Source organism: Homo sapiens, chromosome 7, assembly GCF_000001405.40.
Source record: "Homo sapiens chromosome 7, GRCh38.p14 Primary Assembly".
Lineage (NCBI taxonomy): Eukaryota > Metazoa > Chordata > Mammalia > Primates > Hominidae > Homo > Homo sapiens.
The window spans coordinates 17891010-17915521 of NC_000007.14; the positions used below are offsets into that span (position 1 = coordinate 17891010).

The 24512-nt window shown below is 36.9% G+C and overlaps 1 protein-coding gene across 14 annotated transcripts in view; it reads right to left on the reverse strand.

Annotated features, from left to right (window-relative positions):
• Positions 1 to 24512, reverse strand: part of SNX13 (sorting nexin 13) — a 149734-nt gene that overhangs the window by 100249 nt on the left and 24973 nt on the right. For 12 of the 14 annotated variants that reach the window (NR_146932.2, NR_146933.2, XM_017011893.3 and 9 more), the window contains exons 2-4: positions 6325 to 6437; positions 2323 to 2425; positions 537 to 626 (exon numbers count right to left, since the gene is read on the reverse strand). Coding sequence is in view for 9 of the 14 variants with exons in the window: in XM_017011893.3 (XP_016867382.1) it covers positions 537 to 626; positions 2323 to 2425; positions 6325 to 6437 (306 nt within the window). In the remaining 5 variants the exon portion in view is untranslated. Of the gene's footprint in view, positions 1 to 536; positions 627 to 2322; positions 2426 to 6324; positions 6438 to 16239; positions 16325 to 24512 lie in introns of those variants that run through there. The other 2 variants (XM_047420073.1, NM_001350863.2) reach the window with 2 other exon arrangements.

Consider the following 24512-nt stretch of genomic DNA (forward strand, 5'->3'; position numbering starts at 1 on the left):
ACTCAATGTATAATTTTTACAAATCAGATAAACTAAATATTAGTAATAATAATAAATGTTAAAATTCTAAAGTACACATTTTTATAATCATATAATCAAACATCAATGAAAAATATTTCAGGGGGCATAGTTTTTTTACCTATCTCTAATTTTTTAATGTTTTTGCATCGGATATTTCTTTTCCATTTTTTAAAAGGTAACAAGTAGGAAAAAAAGTCTGATTTACCACACCACTAAGCTTGTTCATCAACGAAAGAGTAACACTTTAACTGTAAAATTTTAAGAAACACTATCAAATGTCAATAACAACTTTTTTTCTAAATCCAAATTCAATCGAAAGGCTTTTACATAAAGTAAACCACCTCATTAGAAGTGAGTTAATAAATAAGGAAGCATCTTCAAGTATAAAATTCAAGGATAACATTAAGAAATTCCAGGATATTATTTAAAGAGCAAAAAGTATTTCCTGGTATCTTCAAAAGAAATATACCTAGAACACAATATATAGAATTCAAATACCACACGCTGAAACTCACTTGCTGGAGAGGTTCATCAATTATATTGGCACCCGTCAATCTTCTATCAATCTTAATAGTCCTGGCTTCCCGTTTCATTTCTTCTAAGCACTTAAAGGAAATCAAAATATCTTACTGAGTAGTTTTCTGATGTAAAATCTCTCCAGTTTAATTCCAGTTGAATACTCAATGTAACATCCCTTCATTATCCTCAAGTAAATAAATAACCTTATTTGAGGTGCTACTCTATAAGCCAAACACTATTTCTCAAGTTAACAAAATTAGACACTCCCAAAAAAATGATTATCCTCAAAAATTTAATCAGCAAAAATTATTTAGAATGTGGGAAAACTGCAAATGTACAGGTATGCTGCTGCCATATTTCAATGAAACTCTACAACTATAAAATTAGTGTTTCATGTGAGTCAAACTGTCTTTACTGGACACTCTCCCTCTTGCCCCTCCCCTTTCCCAGCCCAAAACAGTATACCAGCTGCAAAATAATTAATTTTTAAACGGATTTTATGTAGGGATAGTTTTGGCAACTTAAGAAAATGTACTTCTCTACTTTTTTGTGTTCAGAAAGATCAGTGGCCTGAAAATTGGGGAAAAGGTAGTGGGAGATTCTTAAAAAAACAAACCATAAATATATATAAACATAGATACAGATATAGACATAGATATCTATATTAAAAATACATGCTTCAAAGTTATAATATGAAACCACGGATATTTTTTCATAAGACATACTTAGAAATCATATTTTAGAAATAGCAAATAAAACCCATTGTTTTATACTATCTATTAAAAATGGATTATAAAGACTTAACCATTCTTGAATATAATTTATTACTGTTAAGGATCTTAATTCTTAAAATATTTCCTATTCTCTGTATATGCCACTCAAATGAAGTACACTATAAATAGCTAAGAAATGGTTCAAAAAAGGAAAGGTTAATTTCCTAAGACTTATAAGTAAAAAAAAAAAAATACATATTAATATGAGTCCTAAAGGAGAGAAAGGTTTCAGATTATAAAAAAGTTTAAGTATTAAAAAATTTGTTTATCAATATAAAAGTCAGTGGAATAGAGTGAAATTCTTTTATTAATGTAAAATAATATTGGACATTATTTACTTCTACATCTCCTGCACCTTAGCATGTAACAGATAAATTAATAACTGTAAAGAAAGTTGTTATTAGCATCAACTCCAGGCCATCTGCCTCTCTTCATACAAAATGAAACCAACCCAACTGCACAAGAATTGAAGGCACTACAATCTGAAACTTACACAATTCCAATTTTATTTATAGAGTATGATACTGAAAAAATAATAGCACCATTCAAGATGATAAAAATTAGGCCTGAATTATTAAAATTATAGATACTGCATAATCTAATTACAAGCTGTATTTTTCAAAGTAATGAAAAGTATCCATTTTTTCCTCTGATTCCTCTGCAATTTATTTCATTCAAACCAGAATACTCATTGACATTGTTAAAAATCATATGCATGATGCTTTGAAATACTATGATAAGACAGCAGGAAAAATACCCAAAATAAACTAACCAATTTCTATCGTTTTCTCAAGTTTGTATTCCCACTTTTTAAATCTAACACTAAGAAAGTTTTTAAGATGGCCTTTTAAAATATATTTTCTAAGTATAATTAGACAATCTCACATAAATTCCCAGTGAGCATTAGTAAACTATACGAAAATTTGTCACGCTATATATACAGATGATTACTCTATTATCATTGCAAAGAACTGGACTTTGAGGTTTTATATTCCCTCAAACGATTTACCTTAGGAACCCCAGGTGATGTTGGAGGAAGAAATGAGTGTTCACACTGTTCTAGGTACTTCTCTGAGTTTGTTTTTCCAAACAGGAGAGTAACCACTAAACCCCTAGAAAGAAAAATTTAATCACAAATATAAAAACAAAATTTCCTTATAATTTAATGAATCTACTACCAAGTATATTTTCCAGAGTTCACAGATGGCTTATCATTTACTAAAAAGTCAATTTGTGACTTTGGCAAAGCAAGAAATTGACAGATTGTATTAGGTTCTGAAGTTTAAAACAACTATGAACATTTTGTGAATTATACAATAATACTTTTTAAAGTTTTAATCCAATATATTTCCTAAAGAATCTTGTGACAAGGCCAGGTGTGGTGGCTCATGCCTGTAATCCCAGCACTTTGGGAGGCCAAGACAGGAGGATCACAAGGTCAGGAGTTCGAGACCAGCTTGACCAACATGGTGAAACCCCGTCTCTACTAAAAATACAAAAATTAGCCAGGGTGGTGGCTTGCACCTGTAGTCCCAGCTACTTGGGAGGCTGAGGCAGGAGAATCGCTGGAACCTGGGAGGCAGAGATTGCAGTGAACTGAGATCACGCCACTGCACTTGAGCCTGGGTGACAGATCAAGACTGTCTCGAAAAAAAAAAAAAAACTTAAGTGACATTTTTCAAACTTAAAAAAAAATCAGGCTGAGCACAGTGGCTCACACCTGTAATCCCAGCACCTTGGGAGGCCGAGGCAGGTGGCTCATCTGAGGTCAGGAGATCGAGACCACCCTGACCAACATGGTGAAACCCCGTCTCTACTAAAAACACAAAAATTAGCTGGGTGTGGTGACATGCACCTGTAATCCCAGCTACTCAGGAGGCTGAGGTAGGAAAATTGCTTGAACCGGGGAGGCAGAGGATGCAGTGAGCCGAGATCGCGCCACTGCACTCTAGCGACAGAGTAAGACTCGCCTCAAAAAAAAAAAGAAAAGAAAAATCAGCCCTTATTAAACAAGTAGGCTAGCTAATAACCATGGATAAAGACAAATGAATCTAAATATGTAGCTAAATGACAGAATTCTATAGTTCTGTTAACCAATTCACGTGAGGTATTACATTATTATAACTTTCCAGTATGAATACAGAATACATAAAGGCTATTTAGGGAAAAAAAAATCTAATCTATGATTTGTTTAAAATAAGGCTGGAATTAAGAAAATATAAATGTATCCCAAAAAAAGTTAATTATTTTGAAAAATAATTACAGGATCAAGGAAGATAAATGGTGATTTAGAACTACTTCACTCTAAGTATTGACTAAATATTATCAATATTTCATAGATTTTAAATTTACCAATAAAGCAAAGTGTTGGAAATCCATCAAAAAACATTTAATCTAATAATGATCTTATAGTAATGTTACAATGATTCAAAGACTGTAATGACAGGAAGGGAACAGTAAAACATTAAATATTGTCAGTCTCAACTACTGAAAGGAAGATTCTCAAAGTCCTCCAATTTTTGTGTCTACCTGCCCTCTCACTAGTCCTCAGTACAAGTATCACAAAAGCAGGGGTTGGGGGTTGAGAACATGGATAAAGTCAAATCAGTTTAAGTCATTAATTCTGTTTTTGTTATTTGTAAAAGGCTGGTCTCAGAATTACTGCTAAATGTCATCTATCTGTGTTATATCTGATATTATTATTAAGATTCAAGTTGGCCCTCTATTTCAGTTTTACCTGGTTATTAAGCATATTTATAGACAAAATAAAATGTTTATATTAACACTGTGTTATTAAAAACATCATCAAGAAACAGACTGATAAGACATTAATTTTTGCCCACAAGTGTGTAACGATAGGAAGACAAGATAAAGAGCAGTCTGATTTTAAAAGAACCTAAATAGTAGTTTCAGCTGTAAAGTTTAAGTAATAATTTAAACTGTAGTTGGGTGCCATAAATTAATTATATAACCCAACAAATACAACAGAATGCCACAAAATAACCATAATGCAGTAAGATGAAAGTATCCTACAACAACAAAAACGAAAAATCCCCAAGTGTTTTTCTTTCCAAAAGCATTCTTTATATTAAAAAATAAGGAGTTAACTTTGACTATAAGCAAAATATAGACATTATCAACACTTGACAAGAATAAACTATGCAAGTTAAAAACTTAAGTTTTATTAGAAAAACAAGAGAGGATTCCACAGACCCTACCATGTGACTCTTAATATTCTCTAGAGTTTTTTAGTACCCATTATCCTCTAGTATCCCACCTTATCTCCAAATTTTTACAGAACTTTGTAAGCATCCAAAAGATTTTTTGAAATTATTCCTTGATAAACTACAACATTTAAAAAAGGAACAATGAAGGTTCTCATGACTTTAAAAATGAATAAACTTTGTGCAGGATCTGGTTTTATTAAAGATTAAAAACTTAAAAAATTAATAAACTGATTACTCTTCTCTTTTTCCTAAATTTATTTGGAGCAGTTGAGTAAAAAAAGAAATAATTATTCACTTACCCACCTTCCAAGGGCTCCTACCTTAGCCTATAAAGCTGCAATATCCTCCCTTGACAAAGTATTGGGAAATACTCTGAAATCCTTTTCCTTCAATCTTACAAGGGCTAATACAATTAGTGAAATTAGAAGAAATTTCTACCTTTCAAAAAAAAATGTCAAGACAATTTCCCTTCCAATTAATAAATGCAGCCTCGACTCTGAGAGGGAGAGGTGCAACCATGTCACTATTCAGCCATGCTGTCGCCTTAACTGTGACTGAGAAGTATAATTAGGAAACCCATTTGGCTGCAGATCTGTAGTATCTTCAATCATCTTTATCATCTTCAGTCATCTTTATCATCAATAAAGATATTCTGAACTCCATTATCAGACTCTTATGGCTGAAATAAGTTTAAATGTTTCAGTACACAGTATCGTATCTAGGCCATAGATATGAAAATACTAAATCTAACATAAAATACAGTTTTATGGAGAGTCCTTGACATAGCTGCTCAATTAAAGAAATTCTCACTTGTTCAAGCATATGCTCCCTATAGAAAGACTACAACATGACTATCAAATCTGTATCCCCAAAAAAGTGATAGATATATTTAGAAGCTAACCCTTCAGTGTCCTATACAGTTTCTCAAGCTACTGTTTATATATGCTATTCAATTCAGCTAAATCCTCCAAACCTATAGGCTCAAAAAACTCCTCCAAATATCTGGGGTCTCAAAAGATTTTTCAGAAAGAAATCAGTGTTCATTCCACAACTAACTACATAAATACGTCATATTATAAACATACATACAAACACATTAACAACAAAAGACTCATTTCAACTAAGCTATTTTGGTAACAGTGTCTAACAAACATCCCTTGTCTATATATTTTCTAATATTTCCTTGTAATTCGTGTCTGATACCAAATGCTCTGCATACAAAGCTACAATAAATTATGACTGAAACCTCTCTTGTAAAGGTTTATCAACTTAAGGGAAAACATAAACGTACACCAAATAACTATGAAGAGAAAACTGCAAAATCAGGTATTTGAATTTTCTAGACCGAAATGACAACATTCATTAAAGGAAAAAATTAACATTTGTTTGAAGTCTAATCACAATTTCTATAATGTAAAACTTCATGTGCAGTCTCAATTTAACTTACTTATTAACATAATGCAAAAGAAAATTTCAACTTTAAAGGAGAAACACCACCAAAAGGAATTTGAAAAATTTTTTAAACTTTACACATTATCACCAAAAAAAGTTCATACCTTTGGAAATGGACATCTTATTATTGAAGGACTACCCATATTTCTGATACAAATAATGACAATCACTGTTTTTATTTTTATGGGTATCCTTATTTTTTTAACTTTAGTAAAAGCAATTTATTAAAAATGGCATTCACAAATAAATCATACTCCCGTTTCTCAGTCATTTGTTTCCATTTTAACAAGATATGACACATGAATTATAAAATTATAATTGAGTATACTTACCCACCCACAAAGCAGAGGATATAAAATGTCAAATAAAATATTACAAAGGGTCCAAAGGTTATCAGAAAAAGGACAATGCCAAGGCTTCCCCATCCCCATATGGATAGACTGGCCTGAAATACAGAAAAAATATAAGTAAATTAGTAAATAATTCTCCACATGAATTAGAAAAGAACCAACAAAACTTTTACATAGTTTTAAATTTCTTCTTGTAAACATTCATGGTATTATTTCAGTAACTTTTGAAAATGTGAAGTGTATACTTGAAAATTTATCTCCACAAAACAATATACAAAATTTATATGTATAGAGAGATTTACAGAGCATCTGCAATTACTTTTTTAAAAAATCCTAGTGGCAATGCAAAGGTACAGGACAGAAATAGTTATACAAACTGTTAAATGAAATCCTAGCATGAGAAATACAACAAAGTATGTACAAAAACATCTGTACATTTATATTTGCAAATGCATATACAAAAGGATAAGTAGGCTACAAAGTTATACTTACTTAGAATTAGTATTTCATCTTGAAACTAGCTCCCAATATAACTACAGCATAAGGAGACATTTTATTAGAAATTTAAATTTCAAGGTAAGAAATTATCTCATTGAAAATTGTGATATTATTTTACTCAAATTACGTATAGAAACTCATACAATTATAATTACAAAAGTTCCAACTTCCAGTTACCGAAATTTACTATGAGCTCAACAAAACATCACCAAAAAGTATCCATACATTAAAAAAAAAACCTATTTCATACAGAATTATACTGTTTTAGCCAATTAAAAAAAAAACGCCTTTTATTAAAGGCAAACTAGAATTTGGCAACTTAAGTCATTATGAATAAATACATGTGTTCAATTCAACAAGTTCCTACATCCATTCGCCTTGCACTGTGAGGTAGTACACAAAGGAAGCATTTGTCCCACTCATGCCGTCAAGGAGCATAGAGAAGAATCTCCTATAGGAATGAAACAATTAGATACTGAACCAAAAGAAAATAATAGAAAGCATTATAAGATGCTAAACTGAACAAAATTAATGACCAAAAAACTACAGAACAGACAGTAAGTGCTGTGGATTATGAGAGAAAGGAGGGCTTTATTTATTCATTCATTCACTCACCAGTCATTGCTTCCTACGTGCCAAGCACAGCTCAAGGTAGTGGGGATACCATAAGGGATAAAACATACCCCCATAAATCTACATTCTAGTAAGGAAAGAAACACAAGCATACCCACATAAGTTCACATACCTTCATAAGTTTACATTCCAGAAGTGGGGAAAAAGAAAATTAAGTAAATATATAGTTATATCACACGGGGATAAGTGCTATGGAGAAAAATAAAGCAACTGTGTAGGGCTGGTCTAAGCAACTCTAAATGATTAGATGACAAATAAACAGAAATCCTGGATAAGATTTATTTAGGGAGACATATAATACTGAGTCTTCCTACCCCAAAATGACATTTTTCCATTAATCATACCTTCTTTTACGTCCCTCAGAGTTATACAACTCTTATTCCTTTGTGTTTTATTATCCTTTTTCCACATCTTGGCCACTTTTATCTTTTAACCAAAGGACAGAATGCCTGCTAACGAAGTTTCTGCTCTGCCTCCATGCTCTCTTCTCTCTGAATCAGGGGGGAATACTATTTCACCTACAGAAGTGTCCTCTGACTTCCTTCTAAGAGCGGGTAAGTAGGACATAGTTATTTAGAATAAAGTACAGAGACACTCAGTTCCTCTGATAATACTTTGCTGAAGTTCCTAATCCACACTAAAATATGGCATGCCACTCTCTCCTGGCCTGTACAACTTCCACTGAGAAGTCTGCTGGCAAATGTACTGGAGCACCATTCCATGTTTTTTTCTTTTTCTCTTGCTGCTTTTAGGATCCTTTCTTCATCCTTGACCTTTGAGAGTTTGATTATTAAGTATCTTGAGGTAGTCTTGGGTTAAATCTGCTCAGTGTTCTATAACCTTCTTGTATTTTAATATTGATATCTTTTACTAGGTTTGAGAGGCTCTCTGTTATTATCTATCTGAATAAATTTTCTACGCCTAACTCTCTCTCTACCTCCTCTTTAAGGACAATAACTCTTAAATTTGCCCTTTTGAGGCTATTTTCTAGATCTTGTAGTTGTGCCTCATTCCTTTTTATTCTTTTTTCTCCTCTGTGTATTTTCAATTAGCCTGTCTTCAAGTTCACTCATTCCTTCTTCTGCTTGATCAATTCTGTTAAGAAATTCTGATGCATTCGTCAGTAGGTCAACTGCATTTTTCAACTCCAAGATTTGTGCTTGATTCTATTTATTATTTTAATCTCTTTGTTAAATTTATCTGATAAGATTCTGAATTCCTTCTCTGTATTATCTTGAATTTTGTTGTACTTCCTCAAAACAACTATTCTGATTTTTCCACCCAAAAGGACACATATCTCTGTCTCCAGGATTGGTCTGTGGTGTCTTATTTAGTCCATTTGGTGAGGCCAATGTTTTCCTGAATGGTCTTGATGCTTGTGGATGTTCACTGATGTCTGGACATTGAAGAGTTAGGCATTTATTGCAGTCTTTACAGTCTGGGCTTGTTTGTCCCAGTCCTTCTTGGGAAGGCTTTCCAGGTATTCAAAGGAACTTGGGTGTTGTGATCTATGTTTCTAGTAACTGTAGCCATATATACATTAGAGGCACCCTAAGCCTACTAATGTTGTGGCTCTGAAAGACTTGTAGTGGTATTGCCTTTATGGTCCTAAATAAGATGTGGAAGAATTATCTAAATTACCAGGCAGAAACTCTTGCTTTCTTCCCTTACATTCTCCCAAACAGAGTCAGTCTCTCTGCTGAGTTGTGTGGAGCTGGGAGAGGGGTGACACAAGCAACCCTGTTGCTACCTCCACTGTGATGGCACTGGATCATACCTGAAGTCAACAAAGCACTGGGTCACACCCGAGGCCTGTGGTAACCATGGCCTGGCCACTGCCTATGTTCACTTGAAGCCCTAGGACTCTACAATCTACAGGCAGTGAAGCCAGATAGGCTTGTGTCCTTCCCTTCAAGGTGGAGAGTTTCTCCCATTCCTGGGCAGGTCAAGAGATGCTTCTGGAAGCCAGGGTCTGGAGGTGGAAACCTCAGGAATCTACCTGCTGCTCTACTCTACTGCAGGTGGGCTAGCACCCAAGCCACAAGATGAAGTCCTTCCCATTCTTCCCTCCCCTTTCCACAAGTAGAGGAGTCTCTCCCTACAGCAAGCACAGTCCCCAGGCCCATGGCAAGTACTGCCTGGCTACCAACGTTCATTAAGGACCAAGGGCTCTTCTGTCAGCTGTGGTGAATGCTGCCAGGCCTGGGACTCTCCCTTCAGGGCAATGGGCTCCCCTCTGGCTCAGGGTAGGTCATGAGATGCTATACAAGAGCCAAGGCCTAGAATCAGGGACCCCAAGAGCCCACTTGGTGCTCTATTCCACTGTAACCAAGCTGGTAGCTAAGGTGCAACACAAAGTCCCCTCACTCTTCCCTCTCCTTTTCTCAAACAGAAGAAGTCCCCCCGCATAGTTACCACAACTGGAAATGTACTAGGTCACATCTAAAGCCAGCATGTCTCTGAATCTCACCCAAGGCCCAGGGAAAGTACTGCCTGGGTACCTACTGCTACTGATTATTCAGGGACCAAGGGCTCTTTAGTCAGCAGGCAATCAATCTTGCCCGGACTAGGTCCTTCCCTTCAAAGCAGTAGGTTCCCTTCTGGCCAAAGGTGTGTCTAGAAATGCGGTCTGGGAGGTAGGGCCTGGAACAGGGGCCTCAGGACTCTGCCTGGTGCCCTGTCCTACTGTGGCTAAGCTGGTATCCAAGTTGCAAAACAGAATCCTCTTCACTTTTCCCTCTCCTCTTCTCAAGCAGAGAGAAGGAGTCTTTCCCGGACCTGCAAGCTGCACTACTTGGGGTGGGAGGAAGGGTGGTGCAAGTGCTCTCTTCGTCGCCCCAGCTGGTGTCTCACTGGGTGGTGCGGTGGCTCCAAACCCAGCACAGCACCAGGACTCGCCCAGGAATTGCACTCCTTGTGGCCTAGCCTGCCTTTCAAGTTTACTTAGGACCCCCGAGCACATTAGCCAGCAGTGGCAAGGGTTGCTGGACTCAGGTTCCAACCACTGGGATGGGCAATTCCCTCTGCCTAGGACTGGTCCAAATGCTTCATCCATAGGCTCTGGCTGGGTTCTGCCCAGTGGTGCTTTCCACTGTGACAGGGCAGCACTGAGTTCCAATGCAAAGTCCCATAATCACTGTGCTCTCCCTCCCCTAAGTGCACAGATTTTCTCTCTGCACCACTCAGCTTCTGCCAGGGGATGAGGGAGGGGTGGCATTGACAATTCAATATTGTCCTTCCTACCATCTTCAGTGCCTCTTGCAGCAATATGAAGTTAAAACCAGCTACTGTGATCAGTCCCTGATTTTTGGTTCTTATGAAGGTGCTTTATATGTGGATAGTTGTTCAATTTGTTGTTCCTGTGGAGAGGACAATCAGTGGAGGCTTCTATTTGGCCATCCTGCTCTGCATCCCCCAGTATTCTATTTTTTAACCAGTTGTTAGGACTAAACTGTATAAATGTTTTATTCTCTCTTATGTACAAATCATATCTTTCACAATTAAAGAAATTTTCAAAAAAGAGTCAAAATGAGTTGATATGGAGAAGATTCATGCACCAATTTGTCAACAAGGGGAAATACTTGATTTTTCTAAAAACTCAACTTTTCATATTCTAACAGGTGTTTTATTATTCATTTGAAAACAGTAGCAAAATCACCTAAACCAAAGTCCTATTCATTCATTCAACAACTATTCTGTGAATTTCTGCAATGTGCCAGGTGATAATTTAACAGTGAAAAAACAGTCATTACTGTCATGGTTTTTTTTTTTTTTTTTTTTTTTAGAAAAAAAAGATTCTTTCCTTAATTAAGTTTGAGAGAAATTTTTAAATTCCACAGACTACAAAAATTAGGCTTTTCTAATCAAGCAAGTGCAGTGCTAATTTGCTTGGTAGTTAATCTATTACAACAGTTAACTTCAAATGTTAAACTGTTCATTGAAACATCAGAATAGCGAATTGTCCAAAAATCAAGTTATGTTATTCTAAGTGTTCTCATATGTATAACTGGCTGACATTATAATCTTATTAGTGAGATAAATTAGGAAAAACATTTGATCTAATGCCACATAAAAATAATTGGGTTCTAATTATTTCCTAAAATGATACAGGATAAAATTTAGGGTAATTTTCTTCTATATAAGAAACCTTTCACAAATTCAAACAAGTATTATCTCAAGAGTTGTCCTATAATGGAATCCAAAGAATACAGACAAATCTATATGACAGTGATTTACATTTTTAAAATTCTTTAATACAGGAGTCCCCAACCCCCAGGCTGCAGACCATTAGGAACTGGGCCGCACAGCAGGAGGTGAGCATGCCGCGAGCATTAGCACCTGAGCTCTGCCTCCTGTCAGAGCAGCAGCAGCATTAGATTCTCATAGGAACGTGAAACCTATTGTGAACTGTGCATGTGAGGGCTCTAGGTTGAGTATTCCTTATGATAATCTAACTAATGCCTGATGATCTGAGGTGGGAGAGTTTCATCTTGAAACCATCCCCTCCACCTCGCAGGCCATGGAAAAATTGTCTTCCATGAAACTGGGGGTCCCTGGTGCCACAGAGGTTGGGAACTGCTACTTTAATATAGTACCATTTTCTTTGCTAAATACAATAATCAACATTGAGATATCCATGCTGACTGGTCCCAGAATCACTCACAACTGTGAATTGGAAGAAACTCTCAAGATCATCTACTGCAATACTTCTCAAACTTTAAGGATATTAAATACAGTTTCTTAAAATGCAGATTATGATCCAGTGTGTCTGGGATAGGGCCTATAGTTCTCTCATTTCTAACAAGCTACCAAAACTGTTTAGAAGGAAGGACAATTATATATTTATAATTTTCCCTAAATTAATCTCTAGGCCATAAAATCTTAATCACAATTTTAAAATCTAAAATGCTGTGGAAATCATACACCTCAGAACAACTTATGAAGCAGTAGAAGGCAGCAGCATAGTGCTCAAAAACTACAGACTTAGGAGTTAGGACTAGCTGAATTCAAATCTCACCTTTACCATTAGTTGTGTAACCACTACATGCCTTCATTTCCTCACCTATGTCATGTGGTTACTGTGGGGAGTAAATGAGTTCACAGTCCAAGGTCAATTTTGGCTTAATCACTATTATTATGCAAAGTTAAACAATAAAAAAGTTTTTAAAAATTGCCCAAGGTCACACAGCTATCAGGGTAAGATCTGATACTAAACAAATCTTGACTCTTTAACCCATAAAATTTGTCAGCTGACAATTGTCTTAAAAGTCACAGAAAAAAATGTTAATATCATAAATGAATGCTTTTATCTAAATATTAATCAGCTTAATATGCCTCCCAAGAAAGTAGTCAGAAAACTACCTGCAATAAGTGAATATAATAAATTCCTGGTCTGAAAATCAATTTATCCATGTATCTTCTAAATACATAATGGAAAAAATTTAAGTTTCAAAGGGTGTCTACTTACTAGTATGCTTAGATAATCTACCTGTGTTGGTTTGAACTCAGGGACACAAAAAAACATAAAAAATGACCTCGACTTCCATGATTCTGAAAATTAAGAAATGGCAATGCAAAAAATCACATATGCATCCTGACCAAAGAAAGGAAGTAGAAATAATTTATCTGGTGATATTTTCTGCCTATCAAGGCGTACTGACATTTATCTCATTTGATCCTAAAAAGATATTTATGATAGGAAAGGCAGCATAATAAAATACTTAAGAGTCAGAAATCACAGATTCCAGATTGCCGCTAACTTTCTGCATAACCTTTGCAAAATCACTAACCCTCTCTTTGATCCAGAATACCCATCAGCACCATGAAGGGGCTGAGTTGTGACATCATCTCTCAAGTCTAGTTGTAGCAGACTGGTTCAGTAACTCTTCACAATCACACAACTAATTCAGTGCTTAATTTAGGCCTAGGTTATCAGTGCTTAATTTAGGCCTAGGTTATCAGTGCTTAATTCAGCTAATTCAGGTGTAGATTATCCTGGTTCATGTGGAGAGTGGGGGTTAAGTGGAAAATGCAGTTTTAGATCAGCTGTTTTATACCAGCTATCTTAGAATAGACTGTCAGAACTACCATAGAAAGGAACTTCGACTCTGAGATCAATCTCACTAGAATGGGGTCAACCACTCTCCAACTTATATTCACCTGGTATATTTAAATACATTATATGGCTTAAGGCTGCCAAACAGGGCTAAGAATCTTAGTTGATACTACTTCAGTGCCAACTTGAGTCACAGAAATTATATATATAGTTCAACAATAAAAATAAGTAGCCATAAGAAGAGTGGTCTTATAACAAGTACAGACTGTTTTCCTCCCACGTTATTCTATGTACAATAAGTTGAACGTTCTTCTCCAGGTAATTTCAATAAAATGTGCTCCTGATGTGGAACCCTGTCTCATTCAGCATCAAATAATAATGTAACCAAGGCCAAGTACACAGAAGCTGCTCATTAAGTATGAAAATTACTAACTAGACAAGTGAAATGAGGGAAGGAATGGAAAAAGGAGAGAAAAGGGGAGACCAAGGGAAGGAGGGAAAGGACAGTGAAAAGGCAAAGGACCTTAAAGTGTTCCTCCTCAGTCTCACCTGATGGCTTCAGATACAATGCTATATACTCCTATGATTAGTTTATAGTGCAGCAACATATGCATGGCTATACAATTAAGAAAAAAATTAAATATGAAACTAAGTAATGAGCCTTAGTATTCTATTTTATGTGTGGGTATGAGTACATTTAATATAAAAACTACTGTCCTCCAACCCAATTATTTTGGAGGCTTCATATTGATTCTATTGTTACTAGGTGGGTATGTGCTAGGCCTTAACGATACAAAGATGAATGAGGCAGTTTCTGCCCCTAATATGCTCAGAAGCTAAAAAGGTAAAATATACATGTAATGATAACATAAGTGTAGTAAATACCACATTGATTCACAGAGTGTTTGGGGAATACAGAAAAGATAATGCCTTTAGAGCTTAAATATTTTTAGAACTCCTTTTAAATTGTCTTCAAAAGGCAGTTTTGCAGGTGAACAATAAAAATTAATCTCCTTTATTTACAATTACCCAATTCTTTCCACCAAAATAGTACTACCCAAAACCAGTTACTAACTTTATATGCTAAAGTTTTGGTAAATTCCAAAAACAAAAACTTGAAGTGAACAAATATTCACAAATGTTGAGGCTGCTCAACAGTGTACCCACAGGGAAAGTACTCTTTAAAACTCTTGATTCAACAGGAGAATATAAAATAACATTTGTTTAGTGAACCTAAGCCCAACGCTCAAGGCTATTTACACTTTTACAGATTTTGTCTGTTTAAAAAGATGGAGTCTCTCACTCTCTTCCAGACTGGAATGCAGTGGTGCCATCACAGCTTAATGCAGCCTCCAATTCTGAGACTCACAGGATCCTCCCACCTCAGCCTCCTGAGTAGCTGGGACTACCAGCATATACCACTTTACCTTGCTCTGGCATGTCTAAATATATATAAATATTTCATTTATAAATGATAATAAAGAAAGAATATGATTCTTACTCAACATATACTAGTTTGTGTGGGATAAATGCACTATTCAAGAGTTTCCAAAAAGTAATTTTAAAACCATATATAAATAATCACAAGTACAAGATGATTTTACAAAAGAGGGAGAACGACAGCCAGATGGCACTAGCCATGAATTATAATAAACTGATACATGGTTAGACTTATCAGTGCCCAAAAGAACAAATGAAAGAGAAAAAAAATGTAAAAGTCACAATTCATTCGACATTTAATAAAACATAGACAAAACTATTTCCACATGATATTAAAATTAACTGCTTAGATTCATCTCATAGCTTTTATCATCCCTAACATTAGTATAAGGAAATAATAGATCAACAACTCTGGTATAGAAAACCTTAAGGGAAACTATAAATATATATAAAATATGTACCACACAATTTAAAAAAACCATTTGATCAAAATTTTAGTTGATATGGTAAATTCACACGTAGTTTATTTAGTTCCAACTATACTCCCACCTCAAAGAAAAAAAAAATCACACCTCCTTTACTCAGGAGGCCTACTCCTTAACTTCCTCTCATAATCTGATATGGCCAAAAGGTGGTTAGAGCAAGAATCAATGATCAAATTATAATATCTTGTGACACATTTTTTAATTATAATTTTTAACTGTAAGATCTAATTGTTATACAAGTGGAATTTACTTCCAGAGAAATCTGTTCCTAAAAGTGAACACACAAACTCAAGGAATCATAACTCTTTATTTCCACAGGGTCAACCAACAGAAGAGCCAAAGGTCAGTTCCAATTACCTCCTTGATTTTTCTATAGAATAAATAGGAGACTTCCTGTAAAAATTCTTTAAACTGATTCAACAAAAATAAATAAATAAATAAAGATAATACAGTCAGCCCTAACAAATCATCCTGTGAGTTCATTTGGTGTATCAGGTGTTCAGATTTTGAAAGCCACAAGCTGACAGAAACATTTCCATTCATGTTGGTTATGTTCTTGGGGCGAAACACCAAGTATTTTTTGTATTGTGTTTATAATTTTGTACTAAAATATGCAGGACAAAATAATAGAAAAAAATCCTCCCTAAAAACCATTCCAGTTTCAAGTCCCAGAAACAACAAGACCTCAGCAAACAAGGAGCCAAAGGTGGCAATGATTGATTCACTGCCAGTACAGTCACTAAAGATGGGTCTCAGCCCATCTGACTTATAACCTCTATTACTCACTCAATCTCTAAATCTTCTAAGCCCAGGGACTCAGTCTGTCTCCTTTTCCACTATAATTTTCTGGAGCTTCCAGTCAAGTTTTTTCTTTCATCCTAGTATGCAACAGAAACAAGTACATTTCAATACCTCAGAAGGTGATACTAGTTGCTCTTTGTTACAGAGAATGTAAGGATTGAGAAAGGGATCAGAAACTGACAATGTTTTACCTGACCAACAACAGCACTTTTTAAAATTCTGAGTAAGCATTTAAAAATCTGTAAAAATCAGGATTTCTGGCTTTTCTTGAAAAACAGAAATATCTGGAATCAGGAATCGGTGGAATTGCACACCTGCAAGGCAATAACTGGATAAAACTGAGTAGGCAGCAACACCCCCCCTGAAAATAAGCCATGAATGTTTTAGTACTGCTACAGCCCCACACTTGCTATAAGGTTTATCTGATGCTGAGTCCAAGACATGATATCTCAACATAATTTTACTGCCATTTTGATTAAAGTTGGGAAAGCATACAGGAAATAAAAGGGACCAAGAAAAATTAACACTAGTTTGCAAGTATGCCCTTGATTACCTTTAAGCAGAAGAAAGCTTGCAATTCCCAGGGTTCTGTTTTTACCTTCTTATAGTCTTACTAGATATGCAATCCTTGAGTTTTCTAGTCCACCATTTATATGTCCACCCATATGTACTGTGACTTCCAAAACTGTGCCTCCAGCTCAGAAATATCTCCTGAGTTTCAGAAACTTATATTCAACTACACACTGAACGCTCCTACCTGAATTTGTCATAAAGATCATAAACTTATCATGTCCAAAATTAAATTCATTCAAGATCCCAAATGTTTCCTATATTCCTTTACTTTTTTAAAAGGAGGCATCAATACCTACCCAATTACTGAGAAGAGAAATTCTAGAGTTGCCTTGGATTATCCTCTTGGAATTTTTCAGCCAATTAGCTATCAGGGCCTGCCTGACCATTTTATATCTTAAGTATCTTTTGAAACCTTCCCTTCCTCACAGCCAAAGCTTGACACAAAACCTTCATTATAGCTGCATGACTATATCATTACTGCTTCTCCCTGTATTCCATCCTCCTTACTGCCAAAATGACCTTTGAGAAAGATTCTAAAATACTTGGCTTTTCCATGATCATGACTTGCTCTCTTGCTTCTGTTCTCTAGGATGGATTACTTTTACTCCCTAGCAAAAAATTCTATCAAGTTCCCCTCAAGAACCAGCTGAAATTGTTATCTCCCATGAAGCAAACCTTCCCTCATAAACACCTCACACTCTTCCCAAATATATTTTTCATTGTATTCTCTGCTTCCACTGCACAATTTACAATTCTACAATAGTTATTTATGCATATTTGCCTCTTCTAAACTAGAAGCTTCTTTCATTCATTCACTAAACATTTACTGAAGTCTATCATGTGCCTAGGATAGTAAGGTTCTGCAATTTCAAAGGTAAATAAAGCATAGTTTTCCTGGAATCAAAAAGCTCACAGTTTTGTAGGAGACAACATACATATAATTACAAAACAATACAGTAAGTAAAATGACATATGCTTCAGTTATTACAAGACTTTAGGAAGGAACATATCATCTGACTCAGCTAGAAAGGGTGGGGCAGGGGGGTCAGTCAGAGGAAGCATCTTGGAAAATGCGACACCTAAGATTAGTCTCCAAGAATTATAAGGATATAGCCAGGTGAAGAACAGAATAACTGATAAAGAGACCATAATATGAGTAGGCACTGAAGCAAGGAACGATGTTCTGTGTGTTAAAAGAAAGCCCTTAAACAAACAAAAGACATGAAGAGACACTTTGCAAAAGAAACAGATGAAAAGCTCAACATCACTAATCATTAGAGAAATGCTAATCAAAAAAAAATTAAAAAAAACATGAGATACCATCTCACGCCAGTCAGAATGCCGATTATTAAAATGTCAAGAAACAACAGATGCTAATGAGGTTGTGGAGAAAAAGGAATGCTTTACACTGTTGGTGGGAGTGTAAATTAGTTCAACCATGTGGAAGACAGTGTGGCAACTCCTCAAAGACTAGAGGCAGAAATACGACTTGACCCAGCAATCCCATTACTGGGTATATACCCAAAGGAATAGAAATCATTCTATTATAAAGATACATGCACATGTATGTTCACTACAGCACTATTCACAGTAGCAAAAATATGGATTCAACCCAAAAGCCCATCAACGATAGACTGGATAAAGAAAATGTGGTACATATACACCATGGAATACTATGCAGCCATAAAAAGGAACAAGAGACTAACAAGATCACATCCTTTGTAGGGACATGGGTCGAGCTAGAAGCCATTATTCTCAGCAAACTAATGCAGGAACAAAAAAACCGAACACTGCATGTTCTCATTTGCAAGTAGAAGCTGAATGATGAGAACATATGGACACACAGATGGGAAAAATACACACTGGCACCTGTCTGGCAGGTGTGGATGGGAGGAGCGAGAGCATCAGGAAGAACAGCTAATGGTTGCTGGGCTTAATACCCAGGTGATGGGATGATCTGTGCAGCAAACCACCATGGCACACACTTACCTATGTAACAAATCTGCACATCCTGCACATGTACCCCTGAACTTAAAAGTTGAAAAAGACATATTTGAATAGTATTTAACCTATCTTAAGCCATTTACGTTTTCTACAAATCCATTGATCAAATATAATACAAGAAATTGTTTTAGTAAATATGTCACAGCAATACGATGGCCTCAAATTTAAGGACACTCAAAACCGAGCCCTACAAACTGACTCCTAGAGCAAAGGTAGAAGACAAAGAGATCTGACCTGTACTTAAGTCAATTAAAACCTAACATAACTCCTTCAAAGTACCCAAGACTATTTCAGTGTTGCTATTTCTTTTTGATTATTTTCCTTTTATTTTGTGCAATAAATAGACTGATATTTAATTAGACCTCCAAAATCATTCCCATAGGTTTTAGGAACATAAATATAATAAGGGAAAAGAAATTCACCTCAGTTTGAATGAAAGGAATAAAACAAAATACAATTCAATAAACCACTGGAAAAATAACAGATAAAACTGGTTGAAAAATCTGTTGCAAAAGATGTACCGAGAGTTCGTACCTCAAACAAAACGACTAATTTTTGGCTTTCTTTTTCAAGTCAGCATGATCTCAGCATGATGGAGGACAAGGAAGATAAAAACAAAATGGAGGTATGTACAATGGTGCTGCCACTGTGTAAAACAATCGGCAGTTTCTCAAAAAATTGAACACAGAATTATGATATGACTCAGCAATTCCACTCCTATGTACATACCCAAAATAATTAAAACCAGGTACTCAAACAGAAACATGTACACACATGTTCACAGCAGCACTAATTACTATAGCCAAAAGGAGGAAATGCCCCAAATGTTTATCAGTGAATGAACAAATTGTGGTATCTACCTATAATTCAGCCATGAAAAGGAATAACGTACTAGTACATGCTATAATATGAATGAGCTTAAAAAACTTATGTTAAATGAAAGAAGCCAGACACAAAGGCCACAGTTTGTGTGATTTCATTTATATAAAATATCCAGAATACATAAATCCATAGTAACAGAACTCAGATTGGTGACTGCCACGGGCTGGGGCGGAAGAGGAAAATGGCTTAATGGATACAGTCTTCTTTTTAGGGTGATAAAAATGTTCTGACACTAATTAGAGGTGGTGGTTGCATACCATGGTGAATGAACTCAATACCAATGAATCACTCATTTTTAAATGGCTAATTTTACATTATGTCAATGCTAACTCAACTTCCAAACGTTAAAAAACAAAACAAAACAAAACTGGGCCTGTTGTTAGAAGACACAATTTCTAGACCAGGTTCCAGGCTAGCTACTTTTTGTTGACCTCTCCAAGCCATGGTTTCTTCATCTGTACAACAGTTGAAAACACATGATATCCAAGGTCCCTCTCATTAACTGTATCTGTAGCACTGAATTTATAAAGAATTGTATCATATAGGAATGTATCTGAAAAACAAAGTGTGAAGTAGTACTTAACGTTCTCAGCAACAGTTTTTCAGGAAAGTCATTAGAAAGCTAAACATAATTGCCGGGGCGCAGTGATTCATGCCTATAATCCCAGAACTTTGGGAGGCTAAGGCAGGCAGATCACTTGAGGTCAGGAGTTCAAGACCAGACTGGCCAACATGGTGAAACCCCGCCTCTACCAAAAATACAAAAATTAGCCAGGCGTAGTGGTGTATGTCTGTAGTCCCAGCTGCTCTGGAGGCTAAGGCAGGAGAACTGCTTGAACCAGGAAGCAGAGATTGCAGTGAGCCAAGATCGCGCCACTGCACTCCAGCCACGGCAACAGAGCGAGACTCTGTCTCAAAAAAAAAAAAAAAAAAGTTTAACATAATTGCTTCCCATAACGACTTTACTTAAAAATTGATGTAAGTATTAAAAGATAATGCAATGAAGGCAATGCTACAAGGAGTACAATATGTTATTAAGATTATTATCTTTTAGCGGTCAAACTATACCCAAGGATAGAAATCAGAGAATCAAAAATAAATAAGTAGATTTTTTTAAAAAGAGAGAGAGAATCTACACAAAAAGCCTAGACTAAATAAGTCTTGGGCATCTTCCCCAGCATCAGTTCTTTCAGGCTTTGAGAGATACTCAAGAGTATCACATAGTCTGAGGTCACTAAATGTTGGCATTCTATATTTGCAATCAGAGTCAATCCAGGCAGATTTTTTTCCCAAGATTGTGGATTAGAGGTTTTGAGTGTGCCTCAGCCACTTGGAATTAGCAAAATAGTGCATAAAGATCAACTCTGCAAGCTTTAATTCAAGAAAGAAAACAGGATTCACCAGAATGCAAAGAACACCCCAGAACCCAGGAAGAAGAAGGTGGGCAGGCAGCCCCAGGGACAGCATTTGGCTGAGAAAAGTAAGTGAAGCTCCAGTACATGAAAGGGACAGTCAGTATCCCTCTGTGACTCACCTTTCCACTGGGGATCTGTGCAACCCAGGCCATGGGAGAGCGCCCTGTTTCTCCCAAACACTGACACTAAACTGGGAAAAGGCTGAGAGACTGAGACAGGAAAAGACACCAGGAAAAGCTGCAGGCATTTTCCCAGGCATGGGAATAAGAGGAAAATGCTTTTTTTTTTTGGAAATGGAGTCTCACTCTGTTGCCCAGGTTGGAGTGCCGTGGCATGATCTTGACTCACTGCAACCTCCTGCCTCCCGGGTTCAAGTGATTCTCCTGCCTCAGCCTCCTGAGTAGCTGGGATTACAGGCGCCCACCACCACACCTGGCTAATTTCTGTATTTCTAGTAGAGACGGGGTTTACACCATGTTGGCCAGGCTGGTCTTGAACTTCTGACCTCAAGTCATCCACCTGCCTTGGCCTCTCAAAGTGCTGGGATTACAGGCTTGAGCTACCACACCCAGCCAGAGGATGCCATTTCTAATCTGGGCTCATGCAAAGTAAGTCACTGTTTGGCAACCTGGCAGCAGCAGCCATTGCAGGCATTTTAGTCTCAGGCCAGAGACTGAAGCACTTGCCCTGGAGTGGGGAAAGGACCCTCACAGTCAGAATTGAGTGGCGAGTGTGGAAAGCACCCAAGCAGCAAGCACTGAAATTAGACTTTCCCATCACAGGACTGGAGCAGGAAGAGACTTGTGAAGCTGAGGTTTCTCCTAGGATGCAAGACTCGCAGCCAGGGACAGCTCTGCAACCTAAAACTGGTCTATGTGTGTCACTGCTGGGCACCCCAGTCTGCTTTCATGGACAGTTCAGGGAGAGTGTCTCACTAGTTCTGAGGAGCGGGAGGGAGGCAGACTCCACTCCCATGGAGATCTAACCCTTGGCAGGGACTGCCCCTGAGGGAGAAGGGAGAGCACCCCACCAAAACCCACCTTGGGTCAAAGGAAACACAAGTGTGGTGCCAGCCACAAAAGGAGGGACCACCAAAATCTGGGAATGAACTTGAAGAGGGGGTAATCTCTTAATCCCCACCACTCCCCAGTGCACTGTTGCAGAGACAGCAGTGGCTCTTCCCACTGGGGTCCAGGGAACGGGGTCTGAAAGGGGCCATTTCTTAGACTTCTCCAGAAGCTTCACCCTCACCAAAGGTGAGCACACCCTCACCAAAGGTGGAGCACTTTTCAGGCTTCTCCACCGCCTCCACCTCTGCTGAGGGTAAGCATGTGCAGAGTTAAGAGCCCACCTGCCAATTCTTAATCTTAAGTGCCACCTACTGGACTGCAGCCTAAATCATAACACCAAACAAAAATATGTTGCTACAATAAACAATATCTGACAAAACCACCATATGAATTTATCTGCAACCAAGGAACCCATACAGAGCCTTGGCCCTCTGAAAGCACCCAGAAACAAAGCCAACTGATCACAAGCAACATACGTCAGTCATACCCTCAAGGGAAAACAGAAATTAAAAATCAAAAAGCCCGAGCCAAACAATAGCAAATTAACAAAAACAAAAAAAAAAAAAAAAAAAAAAGAAGCAGCATCGGCTCCCTCAGATGAGAAGGAACCAGCACAAGAACTCCGACAATACAAAAGCCAGTGTTTTGTCACATCCAAAGGATCACACTAGCTCCCTAGCAATGGATCCTAACCAGAATGAAATATCTGAAATGACAGTATAAAATTCAGAATATATATGGAGCAAAGAAACTCAATGAGGTCCAAGAGAAAGATGAAATCCAACACAAAGAAGCCAGAAAAACAATCCAATTCAAAAGATGACATAGCTGTATTAAGAAAGAACCAAACAGAACGTCTGGAATTGAAAAATTTCAAAATACAGTTGGAAGCCTTAGGAATAGACTAGACCAAGCAGAAGAGAGTTTCAAAGTTCAAAGGCCGATCCTGCAAATCCACCCAGTCAGACAAAAGAAAAAAGAATTTAAGGAAATGGGAGAAAAAAAAAAAGACTTCGAGAAATACAGGATTATGTAATGCAATCAAACCTATGCCTTATTGGCATTCTTGAAAAAGATGAAAGTAAGCAACTTGGAAAACACATTTGAGGAAATAATTCGGGAAAATTTCACCAATCTGTCTATAGAGATCAACATACAGATACAAAAAAATTCCAGAGAAATCCTGCAAGATACTGTACAAGATGACAATCTGCAAGACACATAGTAATCAGACCATCCAAAATAGAAAAAATCTTCAAGGCAGCTAGAGAAAAGAGCCATATTACCTATAAAGGCAAACCCATCAAACTAACAGCGGACTTCTCAGCAGAAATTTTACAAGCCAGAAGAGACAGGGGGCCCATTTTAAGCATTCTTAAAGAAAAGAAATGCCAGCCAAAAATGTCATATCCCACCAAACTAAGCTTCATAAGTGAACAAGAAATAAAGTCCTTCCCAGACAGTCACTAAAGAAATTTGCCACCATGAGACTGGCCCTACAAGAGAAGCTTAAGGGGGTTCTAAACATGAAAACAAAATAACAATACTTGCTGTCACAAAAGCACACGTAAGCACATGGTCTCCAGACCCCATAAAACAACTAACAATCAAGATTATAAAGCCAACTAGCTAACAACACTATGGCAGGAACAAAACCTCACATATCAGTATTACCCTTGAATGTAAATGGAATAAACACTCCACTTAAAAGACACAGAATGGCAATTGGGCAAACAAAGACCCATTCTTTTACTACCTTTAAGAGACTCATCTCACATGTAATGACACCCATAGGCTCAAAATAAATGGTTGAAGAAGGATCTATCACACAAATGGAAAACAAAAAAGATAGAGGGATTGCTATTCTTGTATCAAATAAAACAAACTTTAAACCAAAAACACTAAAAAAGGACAAAGAAGAGCATTATATTATGATAAAGGTTCATCAACAGGAAGATGTAACTGTCCTCAATATACACACACCCAACATTGGAGCACCCAGATTTATAAAATTACTACTGTTAGGGACAAGCTGCCCCAGGACCCCCGCCCCTCTATGCAGCTGACCCTTACCCTGAATACTCTGCAGCTGCATTCCTGAACCCTTACCTAGGCGCCACAGCAAGGTCACCAGACTTGCTGAGCAAAACCCTGATTACAGCCCCCTGGGCGGCACTGGGGAGGTCACAAGAAATGTGGATAAACCTAAGTTACACCCTCTTGTAAATTCCTATATTGTAAGCCCGTCAATGATATGCGGTAAAGTCAACCGACAAACAACCCCAGGGTCTCTCTCCCCCATATAAACACCACA